At 45.2% G+C, this 17,132-nt stretch overlaps 2 protein-coding genes and 1 long non-coding RNA gene across 6 annotated transcripts in view, besides 5 other annotated features; all 3 read right to left on the reverse strand.

Moving 5' to 3' along the window:
• The window catches only part of ERV3-1 (endogenous retrovirus group 3 member 1, envelope), a 16,332-nt gene extending 8,683 nt beyond the window's left edge, over positions 1–7,649 (reverse strand). Inside the window, exons 1-2 of one of the 4 annotated variants that reach the window (NR_145414.3) lie at positions 7,503–7,649; positions 4,668–6,156 (exon numbers count right to left, since the gene is read on the reverse strand). The gene's annotated coding sequence lies outside the window, so the exon portion shown is untranslated. Of the gene's footprint in view, positions 1–82; positions 405–4,667; positions 6,157–7,031; positions 7,285–7,502 lie in introns of those variants that run through there. The other 3 variants (NR_145415.2, NM_001007253.4, NM_001396062.1) reach the window with 3 other exon arrangements.
• The window catches only part of ERV3-1-ZNF117 (ERV3-1-ZNF117 readthrough), a 34,971-nt gene extending 27,263 nt beyond the window's left edge, over positions 1–7,708 (reverse strand). Inside the window, exon 1 of the mRNA NM_001348050.2 lies at positions 7,503–7,708. The gene's annotated coding sequence lies outside the window, so the exon portion shown is untranslated. The remainder of the gene's footprint in view (positions 1–7,502) is intronic.
• Positions 608–657: an enhancer, noted in NCBI's record as "active region_26069". NCBI's record gives its function as "activates an Ori minimal core promoter by ATAC-STARR-seq in GM12878 lymphoblastoid cells {active_cell/tissue: GM12878}" and the evidence as "EXISTENCE:reporter gene assay evidence [ECO:0000049][PMID:35858748]".
• Positions 608–927: a biological region, named in NCBI's record as "Sharpr-MPRA regulatory region 12375".
• Positions 633–927: an enhancer, noted in NCBI's record as "tiled region #12375; K562 Activating DNase matched - State 5:Enh". NCBI's record gives its function as "activates a minimal TATA promoter and a strong SV40 promoter by Sharpr-MPRA in K562 cells {active_cell/tissue: K562}" and the evidence as "EXISTENCE:reporter gene assay evidence [ECO:0000049][PMID:27701403]".
• Positions 7,580–7,639: an enhancer, noted in NCBI's record as "active region_26070". NCBI's record gives its function as "activates an Ori minimal core promoter by ATAC-STARR-seq in GM12878 lymphoblastoid cells {active_cell/tissue: GM12878}" and the evidence as "EXISTENCE:reporter gene assay evidence [ECO:0000049][PMID:35858748]".
• Positions 7,740–7,909: a silencer, noted in NCBI's record as "silent region_18197". NCBI's record gives its function as "represses an Ori minimal core promoter by ATAC-STARR-seq in GM12878 lymphoblastoid cells {active_cell/tissue: GM12878}" and the evidence as "EXISTENCE:reporter gene assay evidence [ECO:0000049][PMID:35858748]".
• Positions 9,636–17,132, reverse strand: part of LOC105375330 (uncharacterized) — a 29,588-nt gene continuing 22,091 nt past the window's right edge. The window contains exons 4-6 of the long non-coding RNA XR_927607.1: positions 10,231–10,285; positions 9,948–10,087; positions 9,636–9,673 (exon numbers count right to left, since the gene is read on the reverse strand). This is a non-coding gene — a long non-coding RNA (uncharacterized LOC105375330). The remainder of the gene's footprint in view (positions 9,674–9,947; positions 10,088–10,230; positions 10,286–17,132) is intronic.

Genomic DNA, 17,132 nt, shown 5'->3' on the forward strand with positions numbered 1-17,132 from the left:
GATTACTAGGTACACCCCAGGAGGTGATCAGGCTCCCCTTCCATCCTTATGGGACGGGTCCTGCCTTGGGCCCAAACCTTACTGCAGTCCTGTAGCGTGAAGTCCTGGAATCGTCCTGTAGCCCCTTAGGTTCCAATGCACTGTCAGGGAGGGGCGCCGGGTCATGGGAGAGCCAATCTCCCCTCCGGGTTGAAGGTCTCCCAATGGTGCCTTGGGTCACGGGTCTCCCCCAGCCCGGGGCTCCAGTCCCACAGCCAAAGGAGACAGTAAACCTGTAGTCTCCCCTCCTGGCTGGCTCGCCAAAATGTTGTGGGAATCAGGAGGCTGGAGAGACCACTTGGTGGAACAGGAGGATTTTATTTAGGTGACCACCAGCCCAGCCGATGAACATCCAAAGGCTGAGCCCTGAACAATGACAGGGCTTGACTTTTATACATGCAACCAACAGGGGCGGGTCAGGTTTTTGGCATGAAACCTGTGAGACAGGAAAGCAGTCTTACAGAAGCAGAACAAAGACAGTTAATCATACCGTGACAGGTTTTACAACAGGATTTGCAACATGACCCTATCTTACTTAAGCATGTCTTGTGACCTTGCCGTGCTACAGAAAGAAAAACAGGAACTTATGAAATCTTTGCAAACTTGCAGAAATAGTTACAAAAATAGTTGTGAGAGCAGAACAAAGAATAATGGTATGGGGAAAGAATTTCAAGGCGGAAACTGATAAGGAGAACTTGTTTTTCTCATCTCTGCTCCTGGAGCCCATTCTTTTGGGGTCCCTGCCTGGCCTTGCAGATAATGTTATCATAGCTCCAGCAGGACTTTGGAGTGAGTCAGACTGATCAGGGAAGGACTTGTTTTCCCTTTACTTGTTTTTCCTTTTATATTTCCTGCCTCATATACACTGCCTGTAGGAGTATAACTTAATTCAACCATTGTGAAAAGAATTGTGGCAATGACAGAACTAAAAACAGAATTACCATTTGACCCAGGCACCTCATAATTGGGTTTATACCCCAAAAAATATAAATTATTCTATCATAAAGATACAAAGACATGCATGTTCACTGCAGCACTACTCACAATAGAAAAGACATGGAATCACCATAAACACCTATCAATGGCAGACTGGATAAAGAAAGTATGGTATGGCACGGTGGCTCATGCCTGTAATCAAAGCACTTTCTTTTTTGTTTTTTTTTGAGATGGAGTCTCACGCTGTTGCCCAGGGTGGAGTGCAGTGGCTCAATCTCTGCTCACTGCAAGCTCCGCCTCCTGGGTTCACGCCATTCTCCTGCCTCAGCCTCCCAAGTAGCTGGGACTACAGGTGCCCACCACCACGCCTGGCTAATTTTTTGTATTTTTAGTAGAGACGGGGGTGTCATCGTGTTAGCCAGGATGGTCTTGATCTCCTGACCTTGTGATCTGCCCACCTCGGCCTCCCAAAGTGCTGTGATTACAGGCATGAGCCACTGCATCTGGCCAATCACAGCACTTTCATAGGCCAAGGCATGTAGATTGCCTGAGGTCATAAGTTTGAAACCAGCCTGGGCAACGTGGCAAAACCACATCTCTACAAAAAGTACAAAAAGAAAAATTAGCCAGGCATAATGGTATGCACCTGCAGTCCCAGCAACTTGGGGGGCTGAGGTAGAAGGATTGTTTGCACCAGGGAGATTGAGGCTGCAGTGAGCCAAGATCACATCACTGTACTTCAGCCTGGGTGACACAGTGAGACCCTGTCTCCAAAACTGAATAAAATAAAATAAAATATTTAATAAAAACAAAATATGGTACATAAATACAATGAATACCGTGTGGCCATAAAAAAGAAGATTGTGTCCTTTGCAGAAACATGGACAGAGTTGGAGACCATTATCCTTAGAAAACTAATGCAGAAACAGAAGACCAAATGCATGTTCTCATTTCTAAGTAAGAGCTAAATAATAAGAACACATGGACACAAAGAGAGAAACAACGGTCACTGAGGCCTAGTTTAGGGTGGAGGGTGAAAGGACAAAAAGGATCAAAGAATACCTGTTTGGTGCTATGCTTAGTACCTCAGTGACAAAATAATCTGCATGCCAAACCCCCCGTGACACAATTTCACCCACATAACAAATCTGCATGTGTACCCCTGAACCAAAAATAAAAAATTCGTGGGTGGGGGATAGCATAATGTACGTGTAAGGAATGGTTTGTGCTACAGATAGTGGTCCAGGTGGGATTGTCCTCTGATTTATTTCTGTGTCCATGCAGGCAGATGAGATTATGAACAGGTGGTCCAGAATCCTAGATTGGTGGAGAGAACAGGTTGCTGCTGCAGATTCAGTGTCTGGGAATAGGAATATGTCAGGAGACTCGTAGACACTTTTGTGGGTTTTTGGCAAGAAACACCAGGATGAAAAATGCTGTGGTGAAATTCCTAAGGTGGTGCCTAGTCCTGGGAGGTGTGAACACATCAATGTCTAGTGGGTATGTTTGTGAGTGGGTGGAAATCCTGAGGTGGCAGTGGTGGGAAAAGGAGGTCTGCTATAAGAGCTCCTTTCCTCTAAGTTTTCAGTCCTCTCTCACAGTGGGAGTGGGAGGAGACCTCAAATCCCAGGACAATGGGCAGTGTGACAGCCTGTGTACAGGAGAGCAGAGTCTCTCATTCCCAGACACCCAGAGTTCCATTCCAGGCCAGGCCTCTGAGATGTCTTTCTTCTGGCACCAAAACTGTAATGTTTGCTGAACACCAAGCAATTCTTCAAAACCAACACATTGTCTAAAATTTGAATTATGACCCCACTTAAGAGTCAGCACAGACCCTGATCCAGGGCTCAATCTCACAACACTGTCTTCACTGCAGACACCAGTCACAAACCCTATAGGTCCATCTATGCTTTTGAGCTACTGTTTAAAAATTCAGGACTCCCATAAATCTCTCAAGTTCAATAATTTTATAGAGCTGCTCACAGAACTCAGCAAAATACTGTAGTTATGTTTACCCATTTATTATACAAAATACAACCCAGAAAACTCAAGTGGAAAAAATGTATAGGACAAAGAAAAGACGTGGGGAAAGATGAAGCACATAGATAATCCTGGTAAATAGCGTTAATAAAATTCTCTATCCTTTGTGTTCTCCAGGAACAGTTTATGGAAAGAAACATCCTTTCATTATGACTTAGATGGTGCTCTCTTGTCTGACTTATCACATAACCAGACACTGACTCTGCACATTTTCTTCTTTTTTGTATTAAAAAATTAGCTAAATTTGTCTTCAGTGGTCAAAATAAAATGCTTTTTTGTTTGTTTTTTGAGATGGAGTCTCACTCTGTCGCCCAGACTAGAGTGTAGTGGCACGATCTTGGGTCACTGAAACCTCTGCCTCCAAGGTTCAAGCAATTCTCCTGCCTCAACCTCCAGAGTAGGTGGGATAACAGGCACATGCAACCATGCCTGGCTAATTTTTATATTTTTTTTTAGTAGAGATGGGGTTTCGTCATGTTGGCCAGGCTGGTCTCGAACTCCCGACCTCAAGTGATCCCCCGGCCTTGGCCTCCCAAAGTGCTGGGATTACAGGCATGAGCCATTGTGCCCAGCCTAAAATACTTCTTAATCAAACTTTACTTAAGTTTATCTCCTTTCCACAGGCTCCTGAACTTTGAGCTACTCTCAGTCTGAGCCAACATACAGCCCCATTTTATGTTCCTCCTAAAAACTTGCTGACTTCATGGTAAAACAATTTCTGATCTAAAATCTGATTTTTTTTCATCCTCCATTTGCTATTCCCCTCTGACCTTCTAATCTTTTTTGCTCCTCCCTAAGAAAGAAAGCCTTTATCTGTTTAAACTTTGCAATCCTTAAAGCTCTTATAGTTGGTACTTCGTTCTGTTGCAACACTCTTTTAGAATTCAATTTTTTTACATAAACCTAATTTAGCTCATTTTACAAAGTCTAGAAACTGCCTCAAAACAGTAACAATTTCATCTGCAGTAAGACCCTCCCAGTCCCATTCCATCTTAATGTTAACTGCATCTGTCTGTGGGTCCCCAGCTTTCCAGGGCTCTGTCACTTTTTTCAGTATAAAGGCTTCTTCCATGGCTAGAGTGAGCAGGCTGGGACATCTGCAGGGAAGGTTTCCTAGAAAGAATGAACTGAGCCTTTAATACCCTCCCTCCCTGGCTGGGTGCAGTGGCTCACACCTGTAACCCCAACATTTTGGGAGACCAAGGATCACCTGAGGTCAGGAGTTTGAGACCAGACTGGATAACATGGTGAAACCTCGTCTCTACTAAAAATACAAAAATTAGCTGGGTGTGGTGGCACCTGCCTGTAATCCCAGCTACCTGGGAGGCTGAGGCAAGAGATTTGCTGGAACCAGGAGGCAGAGGCTGCAGTGATCCAAGATCTCACCACTGCACTCCAGCCTGGGCAACAGAGCAAGGCTCTGTCAAGAAAAAAGAAAAAGAAAGAAAGAACCTCCCCGCTTTTTGCAGGCTCAATATTAGCATTAGCTTGGGGTCACTGGGCACAAGCTTTAATTTCCATGTCAGAGTTATTCACTTGGTTTTTGAAACTGAAAAATTCAGAAAAATTACTCAAACACATTGTTTATATAAGGGAAGGAAATTTTACGGTACTTACATTTCATACCTCAATAAGAAATACAAAAGCATTTATTCCTTTAAGACAATATGTTATTATTTCCATTAAAAATCATGTAGTAAACAATTAGTCATATGGGAGCACTTCTAGGAGATACCAAGTTTCCTCTCATAAAATTTAGCATTAACATCACATATCAAGATGATAGAGTACAGAACAGAGGTATTCCCTGTAACAAATGTACCCTGCAAAAAGAGGAACTGATGTTTTCATGAATGTAACTCACCAATTATCTACCACATTTTCTTATGGAAATGTATTCATTTTCTACAGCCAAAATGGAAGAGAGATTTTCCCTATTTTTTTCCTTTGTAGCACTCTAAAAACTAAGCCTTGGAATTCTGTTGGATGTCACCAAGTCATTAAAAAAACACACCTGGCTGGGCGCGGTGGCTCACGCCTGTAATCCCAGCACTTTGGGAGGCAAAGGCGGGCAGATCGGGCAGGTCACCTGAGGCAGGGAGTTCAAGACCAGCCTGACCAACATGGAAAAACGCTATCTCCACTAAAAATACAAAAAATTAGCTGGTGCATGGTGGCACATGCCAGTAATCCCAGCTACTTGGGAGGCTGAGGTAGGAGAATCACTTGAACCCAGAGGCAGAGGTTTCAGTGAGCTGATACTGAGCCATTGCACTCCAGCCTGGGCAACAAGAGCAAAACTCCGTCTCAAAACAAAACAAAACAAAAACAAAAACACACACCTGAGAAAATTTCTAAACTCGGTCTGGGAAAGAAAAAGGTAAATGAGTTTTGTTTTTGTTTTTGAGACAGAGTCTTCCTTAAATGAGTATTCTTAAGAATGGAATATAGGATTAGATATTTATTTTCTTCTGAGCCCCACCTCTTTTATGCCCTTTGTAAATATTTTCTTACCTTTTAAGCCCTACTAATAAAATGCAAGTTACAGTTAAAAAACTGTAGTCAAAATAAGTGAACAAACCTTTTCAAGGTGACAAACCCAGGGAGCTACGGTGCTCATTAAAAAACAGATGTGTTTGACTCATATGTCAAGTCAGGCCACCCAATCCCTTGAGAGATTCTCCCACCCCCATCCTGCTCACTTAAGTGCTCAGTGACCACCCTCTCCAGAGACACTGTACTAGGCCCCATTGAGTGCCCCAAGGTGCATTTCACTTTGCAAGTTGCTGCACCATCTCACTGGGGCCAGGTTTGATTTTTTTTTTTTTTTTTTTTTTGTCTTTTGGGATACTATTTTCTCTTTCATAATTCTTGGAGAATCCAGGTGGCAGTAATTATTTGTTTTTCCCTCATTACCACCATCTGATTGGCTGACCAGCAATGTGTCTTCGAGAAATGGAACCCGGGTTGCTTGAAGACAATCTTAACTTCTCTAAGGGTTTGCTTTTCAAAGGAAGAGTACCCCAGGAGACTCCTCTCAGCCTCAGGGCATCCACCTGCTCCCTTGAGAGGCTACACTCCAACTTCAGGCTGTCCTGTCTCCCATTCCCAGATATGCGAAGTTTCATTCCAGGCCAGGAGCTGAAATTTACTAGACATTGTAGCATACACAGCCACAGTGGATATCTTGATTTATCCCCAGACAGTACTGAAACCCAGAACCAGGGAAAAAACTGAAGGGTGGCTGAGGACACATTACCTTATAAAGTTTCCAAAGGGAAACCCTGACCCAAAAATATTCTGATAAGGTTTCTGTGGCTAGAGGCAATAAAAGGAAAGGAGGCACAGAACATTTTTTACAATACAGTGTCAGGGGATTATTCTTTGCTTTCTTCTCTTGGGAAATCTTTACAAACAGAAAACAAATCTTTTTTAAAATGCCAGCCAATGCTTTGTCAAAAAATGATTAATTAAAATATGGTACCTAAAATGTACACTAAAGTGTACATTAAAGGACAAATAGTTGATAATGTGAATTAGGGAGGGGAAATTGGCATTTGGGAATGTCAGAAGGAACTGGAAATTTAGTATTTTACTGCAAGCCAGAGTTAGGCTGGAGGAATGGGAAATGGGGAGAAGTCTTGAGACCCTGCTTGAGACAGAAGTGAAAAATGCAGAGGAAAATCAGTGCCCTGTGGAGTGTGAAAATAATTAAGTGGCAGGCAATTAGACTGAGGTGGCTCCAGTCCTAGGGTTGCTACTTGCAAAAAAATCTAACTCGAATGATTTTTTTCTAAAGTATTACATTGGGGGAAAATAAAATTCAGGCTTAACCAACTATAAACTGCCAATTAACCTCTCATTACATGACCAGGGAATTTCCACCTTGATCGTACAAATTAAGAAACTACATAACTTTACCTAACCAATTATTGAATTTGCTTTCCTTTATCATGCACTTTATAAAAGTGTTTTCTTCAAGCCCCTTCCATAAACCACAAACTACAAAACATAGCTTGGTGCTCTACAATTCTTGAATTACTCTTTAATTAAATTCTTTAATATTTCTGCGGAGACTTCCACAAATTTTTAATAGAAAAAAAGGGGGACTGGGAACCCCGCAGACCAAAGCTCTTCCCATTCATGAACTCTGCATCCTGAGTCAGTATTCTCCCCTGACGACCGTCCAGTGGTCCCTGCACAATCGGGGAGAGCTGCGGCAGTGGGGGCAGAGCTGCCCACAGAGGACTCCAGAACAAGGCACAGTCACTGCGCAGGGAGGAGACAGGATGCCCGGGGTCCGAGCTGTCAGCCCGGCCGCCATCCTATGGCTGAAGGGGACTGAGGGCCGAGCTGCGCCAAGGAGAACTCGGGGCCGCGGATTTTGGAGCCAGCTGCGGGGAGGCCAGAGTCCCGCCACAGCCACTTCCCACCAGTTCCAACCAGCCCCGCCCCCTCTCTCGGGATGTCGGACCCGGCACTCTCACCATTTCTAGGCTTCCAGTGGGTCCTGGCGTCTTAGCTGTGGATCTCCCAATACCTGCAGGTAACGAGGCCACAGAAGCTGGGCCTCTAGGAGCAGAAGACACAGAGCAGTGAAGACTACACCAGAAGCTCCGGCTGCCGCCAGAGACAAAGGCCCCACCAAACCCGGAAGCCGTCCTGTCTGCTCCAGCTGAGTGCCTGATTGGACGGGTCCCAGCCCAGCGTCCCTGATTGGATAATGTTTAGGGCCCCACCCTCTCAGGCCTTGATTGACAGAAGACGTGCTCAGATGCTGGGCTGAATGTAGAGTGAACCCTAAGCCTTTTCAGGCAGAGCTTCCTCCCTGAGCTGACCCAGGCCCTCCCCAGACGGCATTTGCCTTGTAAGGCAACCGTCTGAAATAAAATGTGAGCCATGTGTGAATTCTAAATTTTCTAGTAGTTAAGAAGAAAGAAGAAACAGGTGAAATTCATTCTAACCATTTAATAACCCAATATATCCAAAATATTATTTTAGTATAGGAGCAATATGTAATTATTAATGTAGTGTATATATTCTTGGAACTAAATCTTTAAATCTAACCCTGTATTTTACCTTTCTAGCACATCGCAGTTCAGACCAGCCATATTCCAGCTATCCTGTAGCCACACATGGCCAATAGCCACCACATTGAAGTGCAGCTCTGATTTCATACTTCCTCTCTCTCTCTCCTCAAACCTCCTGTGCTTCCTTCCCTCCCTCCCTTCTGCTAAGCTGATGCTCACTTCTCCAACGTTACTAGAAGCCCTCAGAGTGAATGTTCTTATCTTCCCACCATCCACCGACTGTGTCTCTGTTCCTTCCACTGTCACTGTGTAATAATTGCCCTTCTGCGGCTGGGCATGGTGGCTCATGCCTGTAATCCCAGCACTTTGGGAGGCTGAGGTGGGAGGACTGCTTGAAGCCAGGAGCTTGAGACCAGCCTGGGCAACATAGTGAGACTCCATCTCTACAAAAAAGTTTAAAAATTAGCCATGGGCTGGGTACGGTGGCTCACGCCTGTAATCTCAGCACTTTGGGAGGCTGAGGTGGGCGGATCACCTGAGGTCAGGAGTTCAAGACCAGCCTGGCCAACATGGTGAAACCCTGTCTCTATAAAAATACAAAAATTAGCTGGGCCTGGTGGCGTGCACCTGTAATTCCAGCTACTTGGGAGGCTGAGGCAGGAGGGTCACTTGAACCCAGGAGGTGGAGGTTGCAGTGAGCCAAGAACGCACCATTGCACTCCAGCCTGGGTGACAGAGCGAGACTGTGTCTCAAAAATAAAAATAAAAGTTAGCAAGGCGTGTTGGTGTGCACCTGTGGTCCCAGCTACTCAGGAGGCTGAGCTGGGAGGATAACTTGAGCTCACGAGTTCAAGGCTACAGTGAGGCATGATTGGGTCACTGCACACCAGCCTGGGTGATGGAGTGAGACCTTATCTCTTAAAAAAAAAATGTCCTTTTGATTTATGAAGCCTCGGCCCGGCCTGAGCTGTGGTTCCTATTCCTTCTGGCTTTCCCAAGCTTTTCTTGCCCACTGGAAGTTTCACTGGAGGGTAGAGGACTGGCTCTGTAGTTGGGGACCTAATTGATGCTCTGTTTTCTGTAAAGAGGAATTTTTCTAATTGTCACTTAGCAGGGAGCCTGGCTAGGAATGGAATCTGGGGGCATTACTATTGGTTTACCCTCCTGGGGACCCCTCATCTTTGGTCCATGCATATTCTCCTTGGGGTGGCATCCTGTAATTAATGATCTCTTACATATCACAGCACCTCGAAGCTCCCCCAGACACATCCTCATCCAGCCTCTCACTCTGATGCCATCATTGTCTAGGGACACCTCCGCATAGGTCCATACCATGTCTCAAGCTGCTCATCTCAACAACATTTGTGCTCTAGGAGGTGGAGGTGCCCTAGGGGGCTCCTCACCAAGGGAGTGGGCAGGTGATCCCAGCACTTTGGGAGGCTGGGGCAGGTGATCCCAGCACTTTGGGAGGCCGAGGCAGGTGGGTTATTTGAGGTCAGGAGTTCATGATCAGCCTGACCAACATGGTGAAACCCCATTTCTGCTAAAAATACAAAAAAATTAGCCAGGTCTGGTGGTGCATGCCTGTAGTCCCAGCTACTCAGGAGGCTGAAGAGAATCGCTTGAACCTGTAAAGCGGAGCTTGCAGTGAGCCAAGATCATGCCACTGCACTCCAGCCTGGGTGACAGAGTGAGATTTAATAAAAGTGTATGCATTGAATCCATTGGGAGGTTTATCTGTTGGGGGAATGGGAATAACTGGGAATCACACAGACAGAGAGACAGGAGTGGGGCCTTCCATGGGGCCATGATGCCGTGGCCCGTGGGTCTGGGTGGGGGAATGTGATGCACTCTGCCCTCCCCCTAGGCCTCATCCCTCCTGTCTAACTCAGTTGTCCTTACCTGTGGCTCTCAGGCTCCCCTGCAAAGGCACATTGTGGCTGCAGCTTCCAGCTTCCTCAGAAGCAAACATACTTTGGTAATAGCCAAGAGGTCAGGCCGGGCTTGGTGGTTCACTCCTGTAATCCCAGCACTTTGGGAGGCTGAGGATCACGAGGTCAGGAGTTCAAGACCAGTCTGGCCAACATAGTATAACAGTATAATGTATAATAGTCAAATGCATAAAAAAAATTACAATGACAGCAAAAAACCAAAACAAGACCAAAAAAAGACAAATCAAACTTACCTTTCTCCAGTGCTAGATTTCTAGGAGGCCACACTCTTCTCTTCCTGTTCCTCCCCTAAATAAAAATGGAGCACAAAATTATGACTACAGATTTCTTCAAGAAAGACCTGTAGATTCTGTAAGAGCAAGATACTAGAAAGAGAGAATGAGGAAATGAACATTGAAGTCCAGACACAAAACAGGAAAGAGGGAGACTGGCTTCACTCTCTCCTGGTGGGACTGACACAAAAAAGAGTCAGAGGCAAAATTTCCTAAGACTGCTTCCTCTAGGTAATGCTTTATTTTTACCCCCTTCAAGCACTGCAGAGTCAGCATATTCTTTTCTGTGGCTTCAATTCTGCAAGATTCAGGTCTGATAGGAAATCATGTAAACCTGATTAGCAGAGTACAAAGAAAAGAGAGAGGGAGAGGGAGAGGGAAAGAGAATCTCTTGGGAGAACTAAATGCATAGACACAGAAGCAGACTCAGGTGGGCGCAGTACCTCACGCCTGTAATCCCAGCACTGGGAGGCCAAGGCTGGTGGATCACTTGAGATCAGGAGTCCGAGACAAGCCTGGCCAACATGGTGAAACCCACTTGCTACTAAAAATACAAAAATATTAGCCAAGTGGTAGTAGCATGTGCCTGTAAGCCCAGCTATTTGGGAGGCTGAGGAAGGAGAATCGCCGAACCCAGGGGGCAGAGGTTGCAGTAAGCCCAGAACACGCCACTGCACTCCAGCCTGGGCAATAGAGAGACACTCCGTTTCAAAAGAAAAAAAAAATTCACCGGATGTGGTGGCACATGCCTGTGGTCCCAGCTACTCGGGAGGCTGAGGCAGGATAATTACTTGAATGCCAGAGGTGGAGTTTGCAGTGAGCCAAGATCATGCCTCTGCTCTCCAGCCTGGGTGATAGAGCGAGACTCCATCTCAAAAATAAATAAATATATAAATACAGGGGACAGAGACAACAGCATTCCAAGATGAATCAGAGAAAGGATCTGCTGCCCAATTACAAGAAAGCAAAGACAACAGCTGTTTGTGTGTGTGTGTGTGTGTGTGTGTGTGTGTGTGTGTGTGTGTGTGTGTCTGAGACAGGGTCTTGCTCTGTCACCCAGGCTGGAGTGCAGCAGTGCAATCATAGCCCACTGCAGCCTAGAACTCCTGGGCTTAAGCAATCCTCCTACCTCAGCCTCCTGAGTAGCGGGCACTACGGATGCACACCACCATGCCCAGCTAATTTTTTATTTTTTGTAGAAACAGGGTCTCGCTATGTTGCCCAGGCTGACCTTGAACTCATGGCCTCAAGGAATCCTCCCGCACTGGCCTCCCAAAGTGCTGAGATAACAGCCGTGAGCCACCACACTGGGACTGCAGTTTCTTATAAAGTTAAACATATACTTATCATAGGACCCACCAAGGCTGGGCGCGGTGGCTCATGCCTGTAATCCCAGCACTTTGGGAGGCTGAGGCAGGTGGATCACCTGAGGTCAGGAGTTCAAAACCAGCCTAGCCAACATGGTGAAACCCCCGTCTCTACTAAAAATACAAAATTTCCAGGCATGGTGGCACATGCCTGTAATCCCAGCTACTAGGGAGGCTGAGGCAGGAGAATTGCTTGAACCCAGAAGGCAGAGGTTGCGGTGAGCCGAGATTGCGCCATTGCACTCCAGCCTGGGCAGCAAGAGTGAAACTCCATCTCAAAAAATAAAAATTAAAAAAAACCCCAGCAATCCCAATCTTGGAGTTTTATCCAAGAGAAATGAAAACATATTCATAGCAGCTTTATTTGTGACTGCCCAACACGACAAAAAAACCCAAATATTCACCAACAGATAAATAGCTAAACAAATTGTGGTATATCCCTATGATGGAACACTACTCAGTAATAAAAAGAAATGAATTACTGATACATGCTACAACATGGATAAATATTTTAAAAAATATACCAATAGGGCCGGGTGCGGCGGCTTATGCCTGTAATCCCAGCACTTTGGGAGGCCGAGGTGGGTGGATCACGAAGTCAGGAGATTGAGACCATCCTCACCAACATGGTGAAACCCCATCTCTACTAAACATACAAAAATTAGCCGGCCATGGTGGCTTGTGCCTGTAGTCCCAGCTACTCAGGAGGCTGAGGCAGCAGAATCACTTGAACCTGAGTGGTGGAGGTTGCAGTGAGCTGAGATTGGGCTACTGCACTCCAGCCTGGGTGACAGAGCAAGACTCTGTCTCAAAAAAAAATAAAAAATCTAGTTTATCTTCCCTTGAATATGAACTTAGTCCCCTGCTTCTATAAGTAGAATACAATGGAAGTGTTGCTCATGATCTGCCAAAGTTAGGTCATAAAAGATGTTTCCACTTGGCTGTCCTTCCTGGGATGGATGCACTTAGAACCCATTCACCATTTTGTGAGAAAGCCCAGGCCACGTATGGAGGTGATGTGTGGGTGTTCCACCAGATAGCCCCAGCTGAGGCCCTAGCTAACAGCCCACATTAACCAGGAGATATTTGAGCAAGGAAACCATTGAGACTATTCTAACTGCATACTGTTTGAAGGCAACCACATAAAACATACAAAGGCAGAACTGCCTAGGTGAGTCTAGTCAGCCTTCAGTATTGTGAGAAGACTAATAAGCATCATTGTAACTTTATACCATTACGCTTGGAGTGGTTTGTTACACAGCAATAGATAGCTGATATACAAAGTGATCTTCCAATACGAATATTATGTCAGTTCTCCACTTGACAGCATTTAATGATTTAGAATTGAGTGTAAAAGTCAAAACCCAATTCTGAATCCATCTGACAAGGGATTAATAACTAGAGTACATAAAGAGCTCAGGTGGAAAAAAAAATAAATGGGAAAAAATATAATAAACTGATTTTAAAATGGGCAAAAGATCAGAATAGATATTTCTCAAAAGAAGACATACAAATTGCAAACAGATATATAAAAAGGTGCTCAACATCATCGATCATCAGAGAAATGCAAATCAAAACTACAATGAGCTATCATCCTACCCCAGTTAAAATGGCTTATATCCAAAAGACAGGCAATACCAAATGCTATTGAGGATGTGGAGAAAAGGGAACCCTGATACACTGTTGATGGGAACGTAAATTAGTACAACCACTACGGAGAACGGTTTGGAGGGTCCTCAAAAAATGAAAAATAGAGTTACTTTATGATGCAATAATCTTACTGCTAGATATATACCCAAAAGGAAGAAAATCAGTATATTGAAGAAATATCTGCATTTCTATATTTATTACAACACTATTCACAATAGCCAAGATTTGGAAGCAATTTAAGTGTCCATCAACAGGTGAATGGATAGAAAAAATGTGGTATATATACACAATGGAATATTATTCAGCCATGAGAAAGAATATAATCCTGTTATTTGCAACAACATGGGTAGAACTGGAGATCATTATGTTAACTAAAATAAGCCAGACACAGAAAGACAAATTTTGCATGTTCTCAGTCATTTGTGGGTGCTAAGAATTAAAATAATTGAACTTATGAAGATAGAGAACAGGATGATGGTTACCAGAGGCTGGGAAGGGTAGTGGGCTGGAGGGGGTGCACAGGAATGATTAATGGGTACAAAAATACAGTTAGAATGAATAAGATGTAGTATTTGGCAGTACAACAGCATGACTATAGTAAACAATAATTTATTGTATATTTAAAAATAGCTTAAATAGGCCAGGTGTGGTGGCTTATGCCTGTAATCCCAGCACTTTGGGAGGCCAAGGGGGGCTGATAACCTGAGGTCAGAAGTTCAAGACCAGCCTGGCCAACACGGAGAAACCCCATCTCTACTAAAAATACAAAAATTCGCAGGGTGTGGTGGTACATGCCTGTAGTCCCAGCTACTCAGGAGGCTGAGGCAGGGGAATCACTTGAACTGAGGGGGCAGAGGTTGCAGTTAGCCAAGATTGTGCGACTGCACTCCAGTTCCGGTAACAGAGCTGGACTTTGTCTCAAAAAAAAAAAAAAAAAAAAGCATAATTGGAGATTGTTTGTAAAACAAAGAAAGGACAAATGCTTGAGGTGATGGGCATCCCATTCACCCCGATGTGATTATTACACATTACATGCCTGTGTCAAAACGTCTCATGCACCCCATGAATATATACACCTACTGTATATCCACAAAAATTAAAAGTAAAGCATTTTTTAAACCCCCAATCTTGGCCAGATGTAGTGTCCCACACCTGTAATTCCAGTGCTTTTTTAGGCCAGGATGGGAGGATCACTTGGGTCCAGGAGTTTGATACCCACCTAGGCAACATAGCAAGACTGTCATCTCTAATAACAATAAAAAAACTTAGCCAGGCATGGTGGGGCTCAGGCCTATAGTCCCAGCTACTTGGGAGCTGAGATGACAGGATCCCTTGAACCCAGGAGGTTGAGGCTGCAGTGAGCTATGATTGCCCCACTGCACTCCAGCCTGGGTGACAGAGTGAGACCATGTCTCTTAAAAAACAAACCAATCCCAGCATGATCGGACCCTGTCTGCCACCCTCTATTCCTTTCCTCTTGCTCATTGCGCATCAGGCATCTGGGCTTCTTTTCTGCTCCTGTAAATGCCAAGTGGTTTCCCTCTTCAGGACCTTTGCACATGCTCTCCCCTGCCCGAAATGGACTTCCCATACCTCCTGCCATAGCTGGATTTTTCTCATGTTTCAGACCTCAGCTCACACATCATCTCTGCAGAGAAATCCTCCCTCATCCTGTGAAGAGGGAATCATCATCCTTTTCATTGCCTCGTCCTGCCTGGTTCTCTCAAAGCAGATATCACACTCAAAAATCAACTTGTTTTTTATTGAACTGCTTGTCTGCATGTCCTCCTCCCAAACTCATGGCAAATCAGAACAGAGGCTCCCTATGGCAGGAGTCCTATCTTGTTCATTCTCAGAACCTAATATAGTACTTGGCACATAGTAGGCACACAACAAATGTCATTAGAATGAATAAGTATCAAGGGGCCAGGCACAGTGGCTCATGCCTGTAATCCCAGCCCTTTGGGAGGCCGAGGCAGGTGAATCACCTCAGGTCAGAAGTTCGAGACCAGCCTGGCCAACATGGTGAAACCTTGTCTCTGCTAAAAATACAAAAGTTAGCTGGGCATGGTGATGCACACCTGTAATCCCAGCTACTTGGGAGGCTGAGGCAGGAGAACTGCTTGAATTTGGGAGGCAGAGGTTGCAGTGGGCCAAGATTGGGCCACTACACCCCAGCCTGGGTGACAGAGTGAGATTCCATCTCAAAAAAAAAAAAAAAAAAAAAAAGAATGAATGCATAAGTATCAAGGAAGGGAGATTTTGTGATTTGCCACCTTTACATGGAAAGCCTACTTAACATTGACATTTTCTATTTGATGGTATTTTTATAATAGGAAATTGAAACTGAGCTAATTAAAAAAGAATAAGGCTGGGCATGTTGATTTATGCCTGCAATTCCAGCACTTTGGGAGGCTGAAGAGGGAGGATCACTTGAGGGTAGCAGTTTCAGACCAGCGTGGGCAACATACAGAGACCCCTGTCTCTGTAAAAACAACTTTTTTTTTTTTTTGAGATAGAATTTCGCTCTCGTTGCCCAGGCTGGAGTGCAGTGGCATGATCTCAGTTCACCAACCTCTGCCTCCCAGGTTCAAGCAATTCTCCTGCCTCAGCCTCCCAAATAGCTGGTACTACAGGCATGCACCACCACACCTGGCTAATTTTGTATTTTTAGTAGAGATGGGGTTTCTCCATGTTGGTCAGGCTGGTCTGGAACTCCCGACCTCATCTGATCCACCTGTCTTGGCCTCCCAAAGTGCTGGGATTACAGGCATGAGCCACCTCACCTGGCCAAAAATAACTTTTAAAAAATAAACCAGGTGTGCCAGGTGCAGTGGCTCATGTCTGTATTCCCAGCACTTTGGGAGGCTGAGGGGGGCAGATCACCTGAGGTCAGGAGTTCGAGACCAGCCTGGCCAGCATGGTGAAACGTCATCTCTACTAAAAATACAAAAATTAGCTGGGCATGGTGGCAGGCACCTGTAATCCCAGCTACTCAGGAGGCCGAGGCACAAGAATCACTTGAACCCGGGAGGCAGAGTTTGCAGTGAGCTGATATCAGGCCATTGCACTCCAGCCTAGACAACAAGAGTGAAACTCCATCTTGAAAAAAAAATTAACCAGATGTGGTGGCACATGCCTGTAGTCCCAGCTCCTCCAGAGGCTGAGGTGGGAGGATCACTTGAGCCCAGGAGATAGAGGCTGCAGTGAGCCATGATTGCCCCACTGTACTCCAGCCTGAGCAACAGAGTTAGACCTTATCTCTGAAATAAACAAAAACAAAAAAAAGGCCAGGCGCGGTGGCTCACACCTGTAATCCCAGCACTTTGAAAGGCTGAAGTGGGTGGATTACCTGAGGTCAGGAGTTCAAGACCAGCCTGGCCAACATGGTGAAACCCTGTCTCTACTAAAAAATACAAAAATTAGCCGGGCATGGTGGCAGGCACCTGTAATCCCAGCTACTCAGGAGGCTGAGGCACAAGAATTGCTTGAACCCGGGAGGCAGAGGTTGCAGTGAGCAGAGATCATGCCACTGCACTCCAGCCTGGGCAACAGAGCAAGACTCCATCTCAAAGAAAAAACAAAACAAAAACACTAAAAAGAACATTTCAGCTCTTGTCAAGAGACTGGACATGGAAGGGCAAGAGTTGGAGCAGGACATCTGGTGAGGAGCTGCCACATCAACATCTTTTGATCACCCCAGGCCACGTTTTGAGTGGGGCCTCTACTAGAATGTGGCCCAGCCTCAGATGCCTTAATTCTGACACTCAGTGCCGGTAGAGGCCCTGTGAGGTCACACTGTGGAGGCTTCTTGGGAAAGTGTTGGCTCTAAAATCAACATCTTGT

The sequence above is a fragment of the Homo sapiens genome, chromosome 7, assembly GCF_000001405.40.
Source record: "Homo sapiens chromosome 7, GRCh38.p14 Primary Assembly".
In the NCBI taxonomy this organism is placed as follows: domain Eukaryota; kingdom Metazoa; phylum Chordata; class Mammalia; order Primates; family Hominidae; genus Homo; species Homo sapiens.